This window comes from Homo sapiens, chromosome 18, assembly GCF_000001405.40.
Source record: "Homo sapiens chromosome 18, GRCh38.p14 Primary Assembly".
In the NCBI taxonomy this organism is placed as follows: Eukaryota; Metazoa; Chordata; class Mammalia; order Primates; family Hominidae; genus Homo; species Homo sapiens.
This window is the reverse complement of record NC_000018.10, coordinates 37,619,542-37,641,276: the sequence shown is the minus strand read 5'-3', so window position 1 is coordinate 37,641,276 and position 21,735 is coordinate 37,619,542. Positions and strand designations below refer to the sequence as shown.

Below are 21,735 nucleotides of genomic sequence, written 5' to 3'. Positions count from 1 at the left end.
TGGTTGGCTTCCGTTCTCAATCAGGTACCACCTCATTGCTCAAGTTCTCTAAAGGCAAAAGCGATTGTGACCTCACTACCTTTCCCTCTTTGACGAAAAGGGTTGAGGCACAAGGCCTCAAATGCTGGGTCCTTAGGAAGCTCAGCCCAAATTACAAACAGACATGCCTTTCTTTAGCAGGACCAGTGCTCCCTTTTGGGGGTAGCCATCCTCACCTCTGCCTTTTAGACACCAAACCCAGACACCCCATGAGTTCTCTCTGTCTCTCACTGGCTCCACCCTTGTCTCTCTTCCACTTGCAGTGCCCCATGCTACGAGTTTTTCTGCCTCCCCTGCTGTCTACCCAACTGATCCTCCACCTCAGGACCCTGAGAAGCAATTAATGCTAATGATGCCTAGTTCTTGCTAAGACAGCCAAACTTCATACACATTTGAAGAGGTAACCCCAATATCTTGACCTAAAATAAAAGTATATCATAATAAAACTTCAAGCAGATACTTATTTTGAATGGTGGGAGGCTGAGGTCTCCCTTGGGCTCCCAAAGTCAGTTGCACAAGCAACCCCCTGCTGTCACCCCATCACTGAGCAATTAAGACCCTACCTCATGCTGACTCTTCCCTTTCTGGGAATCCTCAACTCTGCATGTTAGTTTCTCCTTCACAAATGGCCATACCTTATAAGGAAACTCTCTTGAAGGAAAGAAAAGGGCTGAATTTTTAGGAAACAAATTCCCTGGAATCAGGACCAGGGATGGCTTCTGGAATTCATTTTCCAGCTAAGCACTTTAGAACTGTGTTTCTTGTGGTTATTAGCACGAGTGACAACAGGCTTTTCCTCCCTGAGCCATGCAGATTAAGGAAACCTAAGACTACATTTCTAAAATTGTTTCCATTTCAACCCACAGAGAATCAATACAAGAGAAGAGCATCACCTTAAACACTAATGTTATCCAAACTCAAATTCATTTTTGATGGATTGGTAGCTGTGTTTTCTTAAGGCCAGGCTAGGATAAATATACACATTTCCTGATATTTTCTCTCTCTCTCCCCTCCCCTATCCCCTACATATGAAAAATGCAGCGAATGATACACTCACACTCAGTTGTCCCTTCAGGACACCATCTGTATGGGAAAATTGTGAAACCATTTCCAGTAAAGAGATCCCGGGGCTTTGCTAAGGCCATTGGCCAGCATTGACTGTATGACTCAGGAATTCCCAGTCTGAAGGGAGAGTCATGGCACAAGCTGCAGAGAGCCTGGGTGTAGGGTGCGACACAGACATTGGGACTGTCTGCAGCCACTGCTAGACCCAGTCCCATCTCTCCTCATCCCTATTGCTGGGGTCCCTGGATTCTGATTGTCACTGCCACTATGTGTTCAAGCCCAGCCCTGACCCCACAACTGGCTCAGAGCAAGAGAGGTTGACAAAGCTCCAATCTCACATTTTTGAGCCTGATATCCAATTGTTGCTGGCCTCAGGTGGCTCTCTTGCTCACCTTCTGCTGCCCCTTCCTCACCATCTTATTCTTCAGGATTCAGTTCAAGCATCACTTCCTCCGGGACATTTTTTCTCTGACTTCCTTGTTGAGTCAGTCACCCTCTTCTGTCTCCATCATTACATCTTGCACACTCGTTGGCTGTTGGCCACCCAGAACTGCAAATGGCTCTGTTTGTATCTCCCTCACTATAATGTGAACTGTCTGAGAGCAAGGTCTGAGTGTTTCTCAGCAGCAGGTCTGAGACAATGCCTGACACATAATAGATAATTTTTAGAAGGAGGAGGAGGAGAAGGAAGAAGAGGAAGAAGGAAGGAAGGAAAGGGAAGGAAGGAAACTGAATGAACCCCCAGCTTGGAGCGAGTACCCAATTAATAAACAGAGCTTCTGTTTTCATTCCTGAGATTATACTGAAAAATGGGGCATTAATATTATTAGATGCTGCCATCACGAGGTAGATTTTTCTGGACTTCACTTCAGGACTTGGCCATGTGACTTGCTTTGGCCAATGGAACATTAGCCAATGTAACACAAACAGGCTTGAAACACTCTTACTCAATGGAGTTTGCCTTCTCTTGCTGCTGGGAATCCTCCAACCATCATCTAAACAAGCCTGAGCTTTCTATAGAATGACAAGAGACCCCAAGAGAGGCCCAGCCATTCCCACCATGCTTGCCATTTTAGCTGAGGCCCTAGACATGTAAGTGAGATCATTATAGATCATCCAGCCCTATCCAAGCAAGACCAGATGAGAAGAAACCCACAGAATCATGAGATATAATAAATCACTATTGTTTTAAGCACTAAGTTTTGGGGTTGTTTGTTTTGTAGCAAAAGCTAACTAATACAGTTCCCACAATAAGCCCCTCTTCTGTAACTTGTTTCCACCTTGCCCATTCTCCAACCATACAGATGCCTTTATTTCCTTCAATAAGCCAACACTTTTCTGACTCAGGACCTTCGCACATGCTGTGCATTGCTCTCTGTTACGCATTGCTCTGCTATGTTCTGAACCTGGCTGGCTCCATCTCATTCTTCGAGTCTTGGCTTTCTTAACCATTCATTCTCAACTGTGTTCTCCAACGCTTCCTAGTTCTTTGTTAGCACTCTTTGTTTCCTTCATAGTTCTTTTAGCAGTTTGTGATCATTTTATGTATTTGTTTATCAGTTTTAATATATTCCCTTCCAAGCTCCAAGAAAGTATCTTGTCTGTTTACCAGATTGTCCCAAGATCCAGTAGAGCTACTGAAGCATTCATTAGTTACTTGATGAAGGAAAGAGGAAGATAAAGAGAAATAAAGTCAGCTCAGTCCCTCCTAGGATGGGGTGCTTCTTAGCTCTACTGCAAGACAGAAAAAGTACATTATCCCCATTTCCCTCCTCACCCTCAACTGTCATGAGAAATTTCGGGGAGGCGAGGGATGAGTATGATGGGAAGGAAAGGACAGAGGACCTACCATGGCCCAGCCCTGTGATCTCAATGTGAAAAAATACAAAAGGAGCCAAATACCAGCAAAATGAGGAAATCAGAGTCACCCACAGAACAATCAGCAACTAATCTAAGCTCCCTGTGATGCTGTCCTGCATTGTGGGGGCTTCAGGGAGAATCACACAGAGGCAATGAGGCAGGGCTGCAGCAGGTGGCTGGGGCTCACTGTAAGAGACAAATGGGGCAGCTGGGTGGACAGTGAATGCACAGAGCTGTGCTGGGGCCTGACCCTGGACAGGAAGCAGTCTGGTATGGTGTACACAAGGGAAGAGTTGTGGTCGAGCAGAACCAGCCCTGGCCCCAAACCTTAGGTGCTAACCCTGCGATAAGAGAAAGCTGGAATCTAGCTCAAAAGAGAGCTACTGTACCCCAACAAATGGAACTTGAGACCAAATCTGTGTTGTTCCCACATTTTATCAGCACCATAGCATGACTGGGAAAGGCTCACCTGGCAAGATTCCATCCACAAAGATGATGTTCAGCTGCCCTCTTTCCTCCAACTCTCCTGGTTTGGACTCCACGCACAGTTCTAGTCCTGGAAGTTGTCTCACTCACTCCGGGCATCTTCTACTCAACACTGGTGAGACCAACACTAGTGAGACCCTGCCCTCATCCACTGGGCTGGGTCTGACTTTGTCCGTTGCTTCTCCAATACCCATATGGGCCCTGCTGCCTCCAATGTTGTCTTACTGGGTGTTTACTGGAATATAAAACCATCACAAAGTTCAGCACTATCTTCTTTACCCTCTTACAATCATCCAGTTAGAGCAGACTGCTGGATTGCCACAGTCGTTTTCATCACCATAGTGTATTTCCTGGGCTCTCCAGGCACAGTGGCAACGGTCAATCCAGGCCACTGGCATTTGATGGGCGGGAAACAACCTGAGGAATGACACTGCACATTGCAAAGTCAGCTTCTTGGGAGTTTGGCAGAAGTTTAAATATTCTGCTTTCCTGGTTGGGTGGAGACAGGAAAGACAGTGGAGAGAAGAACAGATTAGAAAAGCATCATAGTGTTGGTCCCAGTCCCAGAATCCTCTTACATGTCTGGGAACTGAGCTGTGAAACAGGACTCCTGATCCAGGATATGGATGGACACCAAGGGGATCTCCAGAATGAGAAACTGATCTCTAGAGCCTATGGACCCACTGATCCGGCCTTTTATAAGCTGTGGACTGCACATTCAGTCACCTGCCAGGGCTTTGGGAGATAGTAAGGTTGGGCCCATTGCATCCCTAACACAGAGATCGTGGTATCTGCGTTATAGTGAAGAGCACATTCTCTGCCAGATGGAGGAGCCCATGGCCACAGAGGGTATTAAGAGCAGGTTAGAAATATCTAGTCCTCTTTCTCAGCTGATTCACCCCCCAAGAGAATATAATCTAACGAGGAGCCCCGGCATTGACACGTATAAAGAAATCAGAGTTGAATGCCTGTTGGGTGACTAATTTTATTATAGGCTAGATCTAAATTCCTCTTTTCCTGAGGAAATTCCTCACTTTTCATAATATAAAATTAACTACTAATTTTATGTTCTTAGAGGGCAAGGGTGGCATCTTTTTGGCTTGGTTGTCTCACAGCATCTAGCCATGTAAATGGAAGAATCATTGCTGCAGCTGACTGAGTTTGAATGAGGCCATGTGAACGCTCACAAGAGACAGACAGAGAATGGGAAGATTGACCAGTGATCAAAATGTAGCATTTGCTATTAGGATATCCTTTCCTTTCCAGCTTCAGATTTGGGATAAAGCAACTTTAGTCCAGGAAAATCAAAGTCAAGCTCCTTAAGTAGCTCAACCTAGCAGATGTGTTCAATACTATTTATGATTCATTTGTTAATTTATTCAATACATATATTAAGCTATGTGTAGGCAGAGCATTATACCTTCCCGAAAAGTTAGTGGGGAAATTGGGCAGGAGCTAGAATATTCAAATGAGCGATGGACATTGCTAATAAAGAATAAAGTCAGACAGCTAGGTAGGGGAAGAAAAGTGAGGACTTTCTCTTTGCATCACTATCACAGAATCCACCAGTTTCCTTCTATTTCACACAAGCCTTTTGTTTTCTCCAGTTCCTGCAGTGCACCCATTTTCTCCTTTTGCAATATTTATTCTGTACTATTCATTCTGATATTTAATCATATCAACCTCATCTGGGCAATTTCAAGAGTGAAAATCCAGGGCAGATATTGGGTCCTCCACAGAGCTAACCTTAGCCCCATCTGTACCTGCTTCATTCAACATCATTGTGCAGCTACTTCTGTAGCACACGGTCTAGCTCCCAACTATAATTTATCTCTGGCATGCTGTATTGTTTCCTATGGAGAAGCGTAGGTCCTCAAGGAACGAGTTCTTCTTCTTCTCTTGGGCTTCCTATACAGAACAGAGTATGTAGTTGTACAAAAAACATTCCAAATGAGTACATTAAAGGCTCAATAAGAAAACTATCTATTTGGGCCAATTAAATAGTTCTTCCAGATATGGGGAGACCTATGCACTTGGTAACTGAGTCTTCTAAAAGGTAACTTATACTAAAATATAAATGACTGATAATTAAAAACAGTCATTTCTGCCAGAAAATATTTGCGTTTAGTCAGAAATCCAGAGTTTTAACCCAAAGAAATATGTTACAGTTAGTCATTAAGTTAGATAGTTGTGACCTGAACTCATGGTGCTGTCACTCATTTAACCCACTGTCAATCCCTGGCTCCCCTTCACAATATAATCACTGTCCCCAGTTGAGTCCATAGTGGTGGCTCTGTGTGTTAAATGAGGCTCAAAACTAGGGGTCACATAAGTAGCCCCAGCCCGTGTTAGCAAGCTCCGACCTCCCTAAGGTAAATGGTAAGTGAGAAAGCAACTGTCACCAACCTCCCTACTGCCTACACACAAATATATACAACCATCCCTGGAAGTCTCACAGTTCCCCATAGAACTGCTTCTCTCAGGAGAGAGTGGGTTTTTAAGATAAACTCCTCTAAAGGTTGTGTGCCTGCCAGCCACTGATGCAAGGAGCATAATTAAGATGGAAAACAACCAAATTCTGCAAAGAGCAGAGACAGAACAAGACTGGGCCAACTCAGTGAAAAGGCCTCTCTCCCCTGTGGCTCTGTGCTCAAGAGCTCTCCACAAGCAAAGAAATAAGGGATGGTGGAAAGGAACACATGAATAAAACAAAAGGTATATTTATGGAGCACTGCTGGGTAACCCCTACAGCACCTCCTGCTGGTTGGACCCCTGGGGTCACCTTCCAGTCCAGGCTGGATCTCCATGTCCCACTCCATTCTTTCCCACAGGCCCCAGATGTGGCAAGTCAGCTGAACTCAGGTGGAAATCATGCTGAATGCACAGGATTAGGGGAGGTGGAGGAGGACAGAAGCCCAAAGGAGGGCTAGGGAAATTGTGAGAACTATAGGGACAACCTCAAGTCCATGACCAAGGGCCCTAAAGGGTGGTGATGAAGTCAGCCCTGGCTCCAGCAAGCCCTTAGATCCCTAGAACTACAGCTTGGAGGATGAGAAGTGACAGCAGGGTGAGCCAGATGGGAAGTGTTGTCAAATTCGGTTGGGGGACGGCATCATGATGTGGGTGTTTGGTTCATTAAGAGCCAGACACAAACCACAAGTTTGGGAGGCAAGGAACAGAATCCAGGCTCAGAGAGTCTACACAGAAACTTGCCAAAGAGTCAAGGCCAAACCCAGGGGCCTGGACTTCAAGCCAGCATTCTGTCCCTTCCAAAGAACTGGATGGCAAGGTAGAAAAGAACAACAGAAAACCAGTCATAATGATTGCATCAATTGGACTTAAGGGATTAAGGGAATGAGTTTTGGAATCAGGTCAATATGGCTTGTACATCCAGTCTGTTCCTCATTTGAAAAATATGGGAGAGACCTTCCTATGGAACTGTTAGGAAGACTAAATGAGATAGTGAATGAAAAGCACAGAGCCTGGCATATACACTATTATGTTGGTACTGATGGCAGAGATAGGGCTGCTGGTGTTGAAGGAAAAATTATAATAGTGGCATTTAGGGTCACAACCATACTATCTATTTTAGTCTCCACTGGTTCATGGGGCTGAGGTACCTAAAGGCTCACCTGCTGGGTCAGGGTTGATGCAGAAACTGAAGCGCTGTGGGCTGAAGGCACACCAGCTTCAGGTGTCCATTGCTGGGGCTGGCAGGAGCTGGACGCAAGGACACAGTCAGCTTATCCCTGCCCCAATATATACCACCACAGGCTCAGACTGTAGGGTTAAAAGATATGTTTGCAATCAACTAGCCCACTTGCCAGATCACAAAGCAAGTGATCTGCACAAGGTCACCCAGATGGTTTGTGACAGAGCTGGAAACAGAATTGAGGTCTCCTAACTCAGACCAGAGTTCTTGCCATTCTACTGGGGCTCCTTCATCCCCATGAAACATCCTTATCTAACACCCTCCTAGCCTCACTACCCGTACTATCAGCAGACAGATCTATCCCTCTAGAGTTGGGTAGTTATCTCCATGGGAAATACGCATGTGCTAATGAAAATGTAAGGCATAGAGAAGCTACACACTCTGCATGAGTCTCTTCTTCCTGGATGTGGAAGACACCTGCTCACTGCAGCATGGAGAATGGAGGCCAGATTCCATGGTGAGCCCACCATGAGGAAGGGTCAGCTTTCTTCAGGAATTCAGGTACTGGTCCTGTCCTCTTTTCCTCCATATCTTTCCTAGTATCTTGAGACACCAGCTACTCTATTCCAAACATGAGGCATGAATCAGAACTAAAATTCTGTTTCCTAAATTCACAATTGAAAAACAACAGCATTTACATTAGTTATTTTTATCTAGAATACCAGGGTAGTCTATGAATAAAATACACACAGTTGGAGAGGAGGAGAATATTCATCCCACAGCTCTCTGCCAACCCAAAGGCCAGTTGAACCATCTTCATTACTTTTCGTAATTAAGAACATAGTAACAGCCAACTAGGGTTGCTTAATCAGTGTTTGGGGTTTTGAATTCAATTCTCACCTGAGCTGACTTGTTGTCAGGTTGATTTAAAGTAGTTAAATAAAAATTAATTAATGTAATTCCATAAATTACTGAGTTGAAATGAGTTATTTGAAGTAAAGCAAAATGAAGTAAATCTAGGTTGGTTCATTTTTAGTCTCAGTACTCATTACTGAGTTGCCGGCCAATGGATATGGGTGTTGGCCTTAAGTAACTGAGAATTCTAGAAAACTGTCTTCAAGACATGGCCCAGAGCAAAACCACTGGTGGGTCCTGCAAGGTAAGTCCATTTGGGGCAAGGAAATCCAGATCTGGCAGCAGGGAGTTCATGTATCATGCTGGAAGCCCACAGATTGAGGGGATACAGGGACCGGAGGTGCTACATGGCTTGGGCAGATCCTATAAAATGCAGGCCTTGGTCATACTCTGACCTCTTAATTTAATGCAATCTTGTCTGTTACTGTAGTATTCAACTATTTGTCTCAAAATTAAGAACTATATGCATATGAAGTGGCTTAAAGAAAGGTCCCATGGGGTGGACCACACAAACCTAGAGAATATTTTAGGCATTCTCTCTGTGTCCTCTACTCTCCTTCCAAATAAAAATGAATGTATTCTGTACAGCAAATGTTCACATCTTCCCCCTCTTCCCCATCGAGCACATGATTCTACTTCTATCAATTCTTTCTTCCAATTCCCATTGTTACGTAAGCTGAATATCTTGGAAATAGGCATATGTCTTAAAAATAGGCCTATGTATATAATTTAGCTGTGAATGTGGTATTCAAGCAGTCTCCAACTTAAGAGCAGGCTCTGTTCCAAAAGTTTGAGTGTATGTCAGTTTTCTAGTACTCAAAATGCATTTTCCCATAGAAACCATGTTGTGCGTGGTAGTTAGGTCCCCCAGGCAGCCCACAGAAGCCTGTTGAAGCCCATGAAACTGGAGTGCAATACGGTACTAATAGAACCCTAGACCCCAACATGTTTCTGTGGGAGAGCACATATGGAGCTCTAACCCAGGACTCTTCCTCCTCTTCAAATCCTACCCTTGCTGGTTGTGGGAGTGGTCACATGGTCTCACCACGTTCTCAGAGAAATGGACCCTGCATCTCAAGTTCCAAACACGCCCTCTATAATTCATCAGTTTTTCCCTTTTTTTCCACAGCTTTTCTGTTAACAGTCAAATTATGCTCTTCTCCACAACACATCGGTGCAAAGCAGGGAAGCAGACAGACTCGCACCCAGGTTGTCCTGCCTTCAGGGAGGGAGAGCCCTGGGGAAAGCCTTCCCTGAGAGGCAAGCAGGGTCAACCTTCGCATGCTCTGCAGGCCCTTGGTGGCTGACAGAGAGGCAGAGAGAGGCCCCAGGAAGGCCACCAGGAGAGTGCTGAAGATGACTTCATTGTCTTACAGAGCACCCTTAGTGCCAAGAACTGTGTCAAACACATCCAAGAAGGAAGAAACTATATAGAGAGTTTCAAATTCAAAACAGAAAACAAAAAGACCTTATATAAGTCCCCTTTAAATGAACATTATCCCTAGGTATATTATTAGGTGAAAAACACAACAAAAAAAAACAAGACAGGATAAGAAAAGTGGAAGGAGAAGGTGCCCCATCTGAGTGAACCTCAGGGGTCCTGAGCCCACTGGCAGTTCGGGCACCCTTGTACCAGAAATCGAGTCGAAATCCCCTTGAGCTCTCTAGAGAAGTGATTTTGCAATTGCTCCTGACCACAGTTTTTTAATTTCAGGTTTTGTTTTTTGGTTTTAGCATTTAGCCTGAAGTCACCTATCCAATGAAGAATTGATATAAATAATGTTTGGAGACATAGCGTCCATTTTTCATTATTTATGAAGCATAAAGTAGATAACTAACTCATCCTCATAGCTTTCACTAAATTATTTCTACTTCTAACTTCCACTGTAGTACTTGGAGAAGGAAAAATAATTTCATACCCAAAGTTTTTGGACTTCCTCTAATTGTCCAGAGTTTTCTCTGCCTTAGCAAGTGGTCACCACAAATCTGTGGGAGAGAAAACTTGGTGGCTCTTATCCATCAGGAGGGTCGTGACAGGTGGTTGAGTCCACCTGCCATCCAATACACTAATGCTTTGAGCCTTCCACCATCAACATGGCCTTCCACCATCAACAAATGAATGGATAATATAATGTGGTATTACATACAGTGGAAATTCTGGCCCATACTGTAACATGGATGAACCTTGAAAACATTATGCTAAGGGAAATAAGCCAGACACAAAGGACAAATAGTGGATGACTCTACTTACACGAAGTACCTGGAGTAGTCATATTCATAGACATAGAATGTAGACCAGTGATTGCCAGGAGCTGGGGAAAAGGGGGGATGAAGGGTTATTGTTTAATGGGTTGAGAGTTTTGGTCTGGAATGATGAGAAAGCCCTAGAAATGGACAGTCGTGATGGTTGTACAACAATATGAATGTACTTAATGCCACTGAACTTTGCACTTAAAAATGGTTAAAATGGCAAATTGTACGTTATATATATTTTACCACAATTTGAAAAATATAGGGGCTTCCAGCCTCTGCTCAAACATTTCACCTCATTCCAAAAGCATAATGTATCAAAGGAAACTATGTGCCAAACATTGCTCATGCCATTTGTTTGGAGGAGGGTTGCAATTTTAATAGCATGACCAGAAGAGAACCTATTATGAAGATGAAGTCTGAGCAACAACTTGAAGTGAAGGAGTGAGTCAGCCATACCAATATATGGGGAGAGCATTCCTGCAGGAGGGAAGAGCCAGTGCAAAGGCCCTGAGGGACTTTCTGCCTGGAGGTCTGGAGAGCAAAATGATGCTGATGGGACTTGCGTGGGATTGCATGATTGTGAGTGCTATAATGCTGGAATTTCCCAGTGGGGATATTCTGCACTCAGGTAATGCTGGATCAGTGAGCATTCAGTGATGTAGATGACCGATTCAGATCTCATCCACGTGGGAGCAACATGAGCCATGAGTTTAATCACTATTTGCACTAAGGCACCACCCAGCCCCAACACCCCCATTATGGCCAATGATGCAGAATTTGAACCTCTGTAGTTCAATTTATCCAGAGACTAAACTTCCCTCTTCCTATCACAGTGTGGAGCTGGGTACTGGAGGGGTTCTGAAGAACTAACAACTCAAGCAGACTTTCAACAAATCCTCTTTTTTGCCCACTCCCTTGCTCTCAGTTTCAGGATGCCTGGGACCCCCATTTCTTTGCTGTTGAAGAGAGTAATGAATGGATAAATGAACACTATACTTGAAACAAAAGAGAATCTGGCACTGAAATATGTAGTTCCTGTTCCATGGGCTGTCTGGCGTCAGATGTGAGGGAGAAATTATGGGAATCTTTAGAAGCATTAGGAATCATCTATAAGGACAGAGACTGCTGCAGATGGAGCACATTAAGGGACCAAGGCCCAGTGTCTGGAAAAGCGGGGTTTACTGGGGGGCCCCTATTAAAAGCATGTTCAAAGTGCCAAAGTGCATCCCATGCATACCTGAGATTGTACTCAAAGACTTCTTCAAGTTCTAAGCCTTCTGTCCTTCTTCAACTCATTCTTTCTTGTTGAAGCTCTCACTGCGATAGGGGAAATGAGGAGTCCCTAAAAGTTTCCAGGAATTTTTGCTACTCTGGTGAGAAATTTTATTGTATGTGGCTGCGTTTGGTATCTGGGCTCCCAAAACATTTTGAGGACATTTCAAAACATTTAACACATTGTATTTCACTGTTTCCAAACAATATGTGACTCTCCTCATAAAGACCATGGCCTCATCAAAAGATTTATCTTTGTTGCTCACGTTGGTAATACAGCATCTGACCATAACTGGTGCTCAGTAAGTATTTATGAAATAAATCAGTGACTGACCATTACTGATGCCACCACAATAAGGTTTCAGTATTCAAATACATCTTAACATCCCCATGTTTCCTGCTATACTTAGGAAGACTGGTGGGAATAATTCCATTTTACAGATTGGAGCCATAAAGGGTATGTTAGTTTATTGCTACGTATCAAATTGCCCCAAAAAATATCATCTTAAAGCAACACACATTTATGATTTATTATTATTTCCAAGTTTCTGTGGGTTGGGAATCTGGACACAGCTTAGCTGGGTCTTCTCCTCCAGGGTCTCTCACTGGCTGTATCCAGGTAGCCACAGGAGCCAGTCATCTCATGGTTCAAATGAGGGAGGGTCTGCTTCCAAGCTCACACAGTAGTTGTTGGCAGGATTTGGTTCTTCACTGGGCTGTTGGACTGAGGGCCTCAGTTCCCCACTGGCTATCAGCTAGAGGTTACCCTCAGTTTCTTGCCATGTAGATCTCTCCACCATGACAGCTTGATTCATTAAAGCCCCCAAGCCAAGAAGGCAAGAGAAAGAGTGCTGCATGATGAACATCAGAATCATTTATAACTGTGATGGTTAATACTGAGTGTCAACTTGATTGGATTGAAGGATGCAAAGTATTGTTCCTGGATGTGTCTGTGAGGGTGTTGCAAAAGGAGATTAACAGTTGAGTCAGTGAACTGGGAAACCAGACCCACCCTCAGTCTGGGTGTACACAATCTAATCAGCTGTCAGCACGGCCAGAATAAAAGCAGGCAGAAGAACGTGGAAAGGCACACACCCAGGAACAATACTTTGCAGCCTTCAATCAAGTTGATAATATTACCCATCATGATAACCTAACCTCAGAAGTGACAACCCACCACCTTTGTGGTATTCCATTCACTAGAAGCATATCGCTAGGTCCAGCCCATACAGGGCATGAACACTGGGAGGCAGGGACCACTGGAAGCTGTGAGCTGTGTGCAAAGCAACCAAACACAGGGGCACTGAGCATACCCAAATCCTTCAAGATCACACAGTGGATTTGGGGTCAGAGCCAAGCAGATCTCCACTGTCCTCCTTCCTCCCTCCATCTTGAGCAGTGCTGTGGGGCAGGGCTGGTGGCATGGGCACCAGTAGGTTGGTAAGGAGGGAAGAGGAGTAGTGAAGGAAAGAGGGCACCAATCCATTTACCCAAATTTATTCTGGAAAAGAATTTGTTTTTCAAGTTATCAAACAGGCAAAAATAAGAAGTAACTGCCGGTATGGATTTATTACCACTAATGCAAAAGCTGTTCCTAATAATGTTTTAAAGTATTCCATGTAATACATCTGTTCAGTTCAAATTTATAAATGGGGTCTAGAAAGAAGCACAGCACCCATCAGGGAGTGCTGAAGAGCCGTGTTTGTCTGGCACTTTGTGTGTAGGTTCTTCCAGTAGGGAAGGATGTTGTTTGGGCTGATTCTGGTCCAGAAATCATTGCTGGTGGATTCAGCAGCTGACCAATCCCCCCACTCTACTCCCCACTCTGTGGTGCTGCTCACCTGCTCAGCATCCCTATGGTAGAAGAGAAAGAGCTTAGGACACAGCAGAGCAGTACTGGGCCAGGGTGATGGAATGGGGCTCTCAAATCAGAAAGCTGTGTGGATGGTTAATTCAAATGATCCCAAATACTTCCCCTCCTACAGCCATAATGCTCAAGCCTTCCTGCTGTGTGCTCAGTTTCTTCTTCTTGTGGGTTTAGCTCCTCTCCATGCACAAACCAGGCTTGACTTGGGGAGGACAAGGCATCGCCACACCATCTCCACATCTCTATCCAGTGTGTGTGCATGTGTGTTTGTGTGTATGTGTATATGTATACGTATATGTGTCAGGATGGGGGAAAGGGGTGCTGAAAATAGCAACATGTTATTTCTAGGCTCTTTGGAAAGAAATGAAGCAGAATGAGAATGAGAGAGAAGTGTGGAAAACTGAGTTAGAAGGGAGGGGAGAGGCAAGTGGTGCAGGGAGGAGTAGGGAGCTACACACCTGCCAGCTTTTCCTCACTCTTCAAATTAGCCTTTCCCATTTGGGGAACAACAAAACTGAAGCTCAAGGAGCTGCCGTAGCTTGGCCAAAGTGGCACAGGGGTGGATCCAGAATGCAGCCCTATAGCAGCCTGCTGTGCAGAGCATGGGATTGGTGGCATGGCACGCAGAGCAGTGCCTATCACCTTGTGATAGGTGGTTGGCAAACTTTTCCTCCTTCCGTCTTACAAATTACACACACACACAGAGACATACACATACACACACACGCACATACACACACACATATGGATTCTTGTTTCCATTGTTCAAACTATTTTAGATGGCAAATTCTTACTCTAGAGGCCATTCCCAAGAGTGGAATCCTGGAGGGTGTCATAAAATCCTTGTGGGGTGGGTGCAGAGCGCACCCAGCAGCAGGATTCTTTGTGGTGTCTAGGCATATCAGCCTCTTGGCCACAGCACTGCGCCATGAACAGAGGCTCCCTCAGACCAGAAATATGATCTAAGAGTGAGGTCTTCAAAGGACAGAGGGTCCTTGAAGAGGCTTCTGGTTACTGGGGGAGGGAGCTTCCTGGAAAGCTGGCATCTGCTGGTTCTTTATGAGAAACTTAGGCCAGTGTCTGTCCGTGTAGGAACTTCAGGTGACAGGCGAGAAGGCCAGCTTTACCTGAAGTTGGAAGCTGTCTTTCCAGCTCATATTTCTTATATTAGGAGGAAAGGGACAAATTTCAAGGAGCAGAAGTCAATTGTAACCAGTTATGAAAGAAAGAAAACTGCCTCCCCTAAAAGATGTCCATGTCCTAATCCCCCAAACCTGTGAATATGTTCCCTACATGGTAAGGGGGGATTAAGTTTGTTGATGGAAATAATGTTGCTAATCGACTGACCTTAAAATAGAGTGTCCTGGATTATTCGGGTGGGCCCAGCATACTCACACAGGTCTTTAGAAGATAGATGAGTGTGTGTGTCAAGGACATGTGGTCTGCGAAAGACTCCACGAAACTTGGATAACTTTAAAGACAAAGGGGGCTATGATCCAAGAAATGTGGGCTGCCTCCAGGAGCTGAGGGAGGCAAAAGAGAAGAATTTACCCCAAGACCATCTGGAAAGAAGGCCACCCTGCCAACACCCCGATTGTAGCCCAGCGAGACCTAGGTCACATTTCTGACCTCCAGAATTGTAAGATAAAAAAATTTTATGTTTTATGCCACTGGGCTTGCAGTCATTTATGACAGCAGCCACAAGAAACTAACAGGAGGCCAGGCATGGTGGCTCACGCCTGTAATCCCAGCACTTTGGGAGACCGAAGCAGGTAGATCATTTGAGGTCAGGAGTTCAAGACCAGCCTGGCCAATGTGGTGAAACCCCGTCTTAAAATACAAAAATTAGTTGGGCTTGGTCGTGGGTGCCTGTGATCCCAGCTACTCAGGAGACTGAGGACAGCAGAATCACATGAACCAGGGAGGCGGAGGTTGCAGTGAGCTGAGATCGCACCACTGCACTACAGCCTGGGCAACTCCATCTCAAAAAAAGGAAAGAAACTAGAAACTAACAGGAAACAGTGTAGGATTGTCTAAGTCCAGGGGGAAATTTTGTGGGGCCCAGAGAAGCGGCCTAATTCCTCACCTGATGCAGGCTGGGGGGAGTTGAGAATACATCCAGCCCCTACAGGACTTGGCAGCCAGGGTCACAGGGTGAGAGTCTGAGCAGACTTGTTTCACTTCTAAGTGGTCAAGGGCTGTCAGTGAGACCCCAGACATGGCTAGACAAGCTCTCAGTCCCCTTCTTGGGAACTTTTGAAGTCATCATTTAAAAAAGAATACAGGAACCACCAGCCAGTGACAGCCACGAAGAGAGCTCTGCTTCTTTGACCTCTTCACAGTCTTTGCTGTTTTGTTTATTTTCCCCATAGTGATTGACAGCTGAACCCTTCAAGGAAAAGGCCTTGTAAATTGTTTCATGAACAGAAAAGGAAAAAAACAGAACAAAATAAAAAAAGAACACTTCCCATTTCCCAGTCAGCCAGGACTGCCAGAAACCTAGGTTGGAGAAACAGGTGTTGGCAACAGGGAGAAGCAAAATCCTCATGGATCCCTGAGGCAGACAGGCAGACAGAAAGGCTTCAGAGGCCATGAGAAGGTCATCCACACAGAGCCAGGACCCACATGAGGAAGCAGTGGCTGTGCTTCCAGGGAGGACTACTTGGCTTAGCATGGAGTTGGCACTCAGCAAACATGAGCTGCTCTTATTATTATCACATAATAAGAAGGAATGTCAGATTACCCATTCGTTAAAAAGAATGCATTACATTGCATTCCTTCATACTCATTAGTTTACCTAACTATTCCATAACCACGTTGACATGGTAAGACTGGTGGTATTTTCCCCCACCACTTTATAAATGTAGAAATGTCAAAGTGAGACACATTCTCGTTTTGAATAAACAGGATGAGGAACTCAATGGTCAACAAGAGACTCCAGGCCAGAGAAGGAGACTCAGCAGGGTATGAAGGCAATGGGCTCAGAGCTTCTGGGAGACACCCTCTGTGACCTCCAGGACTAGCTGGGGAAACCAAGAGGCCAGAAAGACTGATCCACTGTCTCCAGACCTCAGAGCTGGCCACTGACTTGAATCCAGCTCCCAACTCTCTGCTTAGGCTCAGAACCACCCTGCTCTGAGACTTCCTAACTGCCTTGTCTCCAACTGATTGGGAACAGGGCAGAAAAGGGGATGAACCACTTGGCAGGGCTGTCACCCTCCCAAGGCTCATAGCTGCACCCTGGAAAGTCTTCCAACCACTTCTGCCTTCTAGTTACCAAAGAAAAAAATACTGATTGTAAACATCACTTTAAAAGCATGCCATCCGACAGCCGGCTCAGCTGCAATACATCAGCCTGAATTGTACTCATTTATGGTGAAGCATTTTATATTAATGTTTTCATTGCTTATCACAGACACTGGCTTTAAAGTGCTTAAGCCAGCTGTACTGAGTTATTTATTAGGCTTTTCTTTTTTCCAAGTTGCCTTTTCCTTAAATAAAGTATTTGTTTTACTTTCATACATTTAAGAATCTCTCTTGTCTCCTGCCCATCAGTTCTGATGGCTTGTGTGCATACGCTGTTTGTTTCTCTAGAATTTACTCAGTGCCTCTGGAAGTCAGGTGAACTGGAGCCAGCAATGCCCACGGAAGGAAAAGGTATAGTGAGGCAGAGAGTTCAGTCTCTGCAGGACCATCTAGCTTCCCTTCCTCTGTCTTCCTTCATCCTACAAGTTAGATTCCACCTCCACTATAATATTGAAGATCTTCAATGATTGCCCAAAGTCAACTGATTTGACAATTGGGATACAGTCAATGCTGCTAATCATCTCCCCTTCCATGGCTCTCCTCTTGCCATTATGACTACTCCTGTGTCCCCATCATTAACTCTACCTTCTTCTTCATTCCTAAGTATGGGTGGCCTAAGGGTCAGGCCTCAGGCCTGTCTCCTTCAGAACTAGCACCCTACATAAAGTGAAGTCCTCTAAATAGTGAGACACCCCCTTTCCTTTACCCACAGGGCTCCCAGAAAGCTGACAGCAAGACAGAAACCTGGACGGTTGCTATCTAGAGAGTCAAACTTTCTAATCTTGTGACTTTAGAGTTGGCTAACAAAATTCCAGGACCCAATCACTCCACACTGAAGCCCATCAGTCAACAAAGTCTAACAGTAACGATAGAATTCCAGTCAGCAACGTGGTTCTTCATTCTGAAATACAAACAGATAGCCAAGCACCAGCTGACACTTAAGAAGAGCTCTAACAAAAAAAAAAAAAAAAGAACAAAAATTGGAAATAGGGCCTTGTAAGAAACAAAAGTAAAGCAAGCAGAAAAGAAATTCTTTAAAAAAAAAAAACTGTAAATATCTTCAGAAAAAAAAAAGATAGGTATCCATGCAATAAGAACAGAAAGTTATTATAAAATAATTAGAAAAATTTAAAAAAGAATATGTGGGAATTAAATATGGAATACCCATAATACAAAAATAAATAGATTCCAGATGATAAATATAAGCAATCTCTAGAAGATAATATAATCAATAAATATTATTGGAACTAGACAAAGGATAACATGATGGAATGCAGGAAAGAAAAATTAAAGCATCTATCAAGTAGGTTCAATAGTCTCTTAAAAGAAATTTTAATGAGAGATCTGAGAGAAAACAAGGGAGGCAATTACAAAGAAAAAATTCCAAAAAGATTTCCAGAACTGAAGGGCATGAAATTCCAGATTTAAAGAGTCCATCAAAAGATCAAACATAATGAATGAATAAAAGAGACAAACCTAGATATACCACTGTGAAATTTCAACACACCAGGGATAAAGAGTAGAAATAAATACTTTCAGAGAAAGGTGCAAAAGAGATCATGTAACAAGAGTAGAAGTCAAGGAGGCATGAGACTTCTGAGTAGGAACACTGGAAGCTAGAACACAATGGAACAATGCCTTTAGAATCCTGTGGAAAAAGCACCTTCATCTTCAAATTCTATATCTAGCCAAATGGTAAATGAAATGTGAAGAGCAAATAAAGACATATTCAGATACGCAAGGGTTTTAAAATTTTACCCTCATGCATGTTTTTATGAGAACTGGAAAAGGCTCTTTACCAAAGCAAGAGAGCAAAGCAAAGAGGATATGACATCCAGGAATGAGGTGATCCGAGGAGCTTGGGGAGACCAAGGCAGCAGGCCCAGAGACAGCCAGTCCAAATCAAATAGGCAGGAGGTTGGGGCCCAAGGAAAAGCGGTTCCAAGAAAACAAACAAACAAACAAAAAAACACTGTTCAGTCACCCAGTGGGTTTGACTCTATTAGGAGATCTTGGTACCTCTGCCAGAGATTTTGGGAAAGAATCAGTGATAGGTACATAGAAAACTAGGCAAATTGTTAAATTGGACAATTATTAGCTCACGGAAAAACCAACAATTGTTTAAAAAGGAAAATCATAGTTGTATTCCTTTGTGAATATTTTTATAGATATAAATATGAAAATCCTAAAAATTCACTAAGCAGAAAATAGGAATATAACTGTGTTAGGAGGATGAAGGAAAGAAAAGGAATGGTATGATAGCTAAAAAAGAGAAAGCCTAAATTCCTGTGGATAGAAGGTAAAAAATATAGCCTATAGATATAATAATATCATATTATTTAGAAGTACGAAGTTAAATGCCAGCAAGAATTGTTCAAAATTTGAAAATGGTGTTTCTAAGGAGTAAGACCCAGGAGTAAGGAAGGATGAGCCAGAAAACTGCTAGGTTTTTTTTTCCTAAGTCTTGTCAAAAATTTGAATTTTGTAATTATGTACATATGCTAGTTTGACAAGTAAAAGTTTAATTCAGGTATACAAACTATAAAATATATGTATAGCTATATATTATAGAAAGGGCAAGAGTCCACGATGAGCAGATGTTTAATGAGGAGCAAAAGAGATACAGCCCCTGCCTTCTGGGAACTTCTCTCTACACATGGGATGCCATCTCTTATCTCTGCATCCTGCACATACCTTTAGCTGACTACTTGTCTGCCTGGAATATGCTAACTCATCTATTAAGTCTCCTTTCACATCCTCCTTACTCTCCCAGGCAATCAGGCCTTTCCTGGGTCCTACTGCCCTTTGTGCAAACAACCAATGCAGCAATTGCATCATTGTATTTGCAGGACATGTTTATTTGCAGGACTCTCAGCTAGCTCATAAGTTCCTAAAATTCAAGGACTTCATTTTACCCTGAGTGTGTCCCTAGTAATGAAGACAGTATCTGATTCTATGTCAATACCCAGTAAGTGCTTGTCAAATGAATACATGCATGGATACATGCATGGGTGCATATCTGGGTGGATGAAAGGATGGATACATAGACGGAGAATGGAGGATCAGGCTGTTTCCTTGTTACCACCCAAAAAAGAAAAATACTTGTTGATTAAATGAACAAAGAAGACTGAGAGAGCTGGAAATATCCAGGAAATTGATTGTACCATCCTCCCTCGGCCAGGCATACATAGGCCTATATAGTGCTTGTGGTTCACTACCTCATTGAAGCTTCAGTGAACCACTAGTTCACTGAGTTGAATGGTTCGCTGCCTCACTGAAGCCTCAGTGAACCACTGGCACCTCACTATTGCTACCAACTACATTATTGCTTCCAACATACTTGGGCCCCAAGGTGGCCCAAAACAATGTGCATGACACAAAAAGAGGGCAGGAAGGAAGGAAGTGTCATGGAAATGGGAGGCAGGGGGCCCTAATGACATGCCTTGATGGCAATGCCACCTGTCTCTACTTGTGACTTTCAGCAGAAAGATCAAATGCCTCTTGGGTGCTGCCAGATATTGCTCTCAGCTAAAAGTGCCCATGAAGGAAGAAGCCAGGGCATCTCCAGTAATGACAGCCACATGTAGTACTAGGGGCTGTCTGAGCTGGTGGAGCTCTTCTCAGGCCCATCCTGTGGGTGCTATCAACATTGCTTATGCTAGTAATTTGAATATTTCCACAAAGATCCCCAAGCAAGTGGATGACAAGATGTAGAGGATCATGTGCGCAATGCCCCTTCCATCCCCTGCCCCATCCAGCACACCCATTTCCTAAATTGGAGGGTAGGGGGAGGAGAAGACTTGATCATCTGAGTCTGAAGAGGAAAGGACATTACCAAAGACTCAGAGAGAGCTTCTAATGCCTGACTGATGCCACTTCATCCCCACCAAAAAAAATCTTCAGCAATCGAAAGTTAAAGTGAATTTCTCACCCATCCATCCAATCCAGAATGGTAGCTGGTCAGCGCTGTAGCATGATTTAAGGGCTCTGAAAAAAACCCACACTGCCCCCAAAATATCTCCCTGGCCTGAAATTCATTTCACTTCATAACCATGCCTGAAACTCCACCAATTAGAAATTCATTTACAAGCCCCTCTTGTAAAATGTGCAACAGTGATTAGCTTTATTTGATTCTGCTCCAGAATCTAAAATTAGGACCAATGGCTGGGCCTAATAAAGAAAAATTGATGGGCTTTAGTTTGACTGAAAAAGCCTCTTTTGTCAGTTCTTGCTCTTCAGCTATGGGACCGACAACTCCCATGAATGACACATAAACAATTACTTAAGACAAAATCTTCTCCTTCTGGACAGGTCAAAAGGCTTAGAAAAGTTCTTTGAGGTAGACTAAAATGGGCTTCCTGATGCTCTCAGCAGTTTGCCCTAGTTCTGCCCTTAGCAACACAAAGAGAGTCTAATCACTCGCCTCTTGTCAAATATTCTAAGCCAGGCTTCCTCTCCCTTGGAGTTTCTGTGGCCCTTTCTCCGTTTCTAACAGCTGGGCAATATGTGTGCATTGATTTGGTTAAATAAGACATGGCTTCAAGGCTCTGCTCCCCCACCAGCAAATGGCCTTTCATAGGGTAGAAGTTTTACGGTGTGTGTGATATGCAGTAATAACCTTGTTTTCTCTGCTTCTCACTGACTAAGCACTCTGGAACCTACAAGAGCATGTAGGGCTGGAAGCATCACGTGGGTGTTGTAGGCATCAAGCTTTGGGCAAGGAAGTCAAATCAGAGAGAAGGGCCCAAGAAGATACCAACACCTGCCTGGTTGGCTTTGATAAGACTTTCACCAGAATTCAGGAGACCCTGAGGGTGCACGCTGATGTCATGCCAGACATCATGTTTGTTCTGCATTTCTCCATGAAATTTCAGCTCCTGCAGGCTCACGATCTGGCCTTCTGTCCTAAATCAATCCCTCATTAATTGACACTTTGAGCAAGTTTCTTAATTCCCATGATTCTGTTTCTTTATCCACTACATGAAGACTTTTCTATCTAGTTGTCTGGTGGAGTTTTATG

General features: G+C 43.9%; 2 long non-coding RNA genes across 2 annotated transcripts, besides 2 other annotated features; both read right to left on the bottom strand.

The window, feature by feature from the left end:
- Nucleotides 1–867: an enhancer, noted in NCBI's record as "OCT4-NANOG hESC enhancer chr18:35220373-35221239 (GRCh37/hg19 assembly coordinates)". NCBI's record gives its function as "activates a minimal SCP1, AML or CMV promoter by ChIP-STARR-seq in primed H9 embryonic stem cells {active_cell/tissue: H9 hESC(primed)}" and the evidence as "EXISTENCE:reporter gene assay evidence [ECO:0000049][PMID:30033119]".
- Nucleotides 2,268–4,073, bottom strand: LOC107985118 (uncharacterized). The gene is made up of 2 exons (XR_001753554.1): nt 3,434–4,073; nt 2,268–2,760 (listed from the first exon to the last, which is right to left on the bottom strand). It is a non-coding gene; the product is annotated as an uncharacterized LOC107985118 (long non-coding RNA).
- Nucleotides 4,074–13,023: 8,950 nt separating this feature from the next.
- On the bottom strand, nt 13,024–16,328 carry LOC124904289 (uncharacterized). Its single transcript, XR_007066346.1, has 2 exons — nt 15,496–16,328; nt 13,024–14,932 (listed from the first exon to the last, which is right to left on the bottom strand). It is a non-coding gene; the product is annotated as an uncharacterized LOC124904289 (long non-coding RNA).
- Nucleotides 20,778–21,371: an enhancer, noted in NCBI's record as "NANOG hESC enhancer chr18:35199869-35200462 (GRCh37/hg19 assembly coordinates)". NCBI's record gives its function as "activates a minimal SCP1, AML or CMV promoter by ChIP-STARR-seq in primed H9 embryonic stem cells {active_cell/tissue: H9 hESC(primed)}" and the evidence as "EXISTENCE:reporter gene assay evidence [ECO:0000049][PMID:30033119]".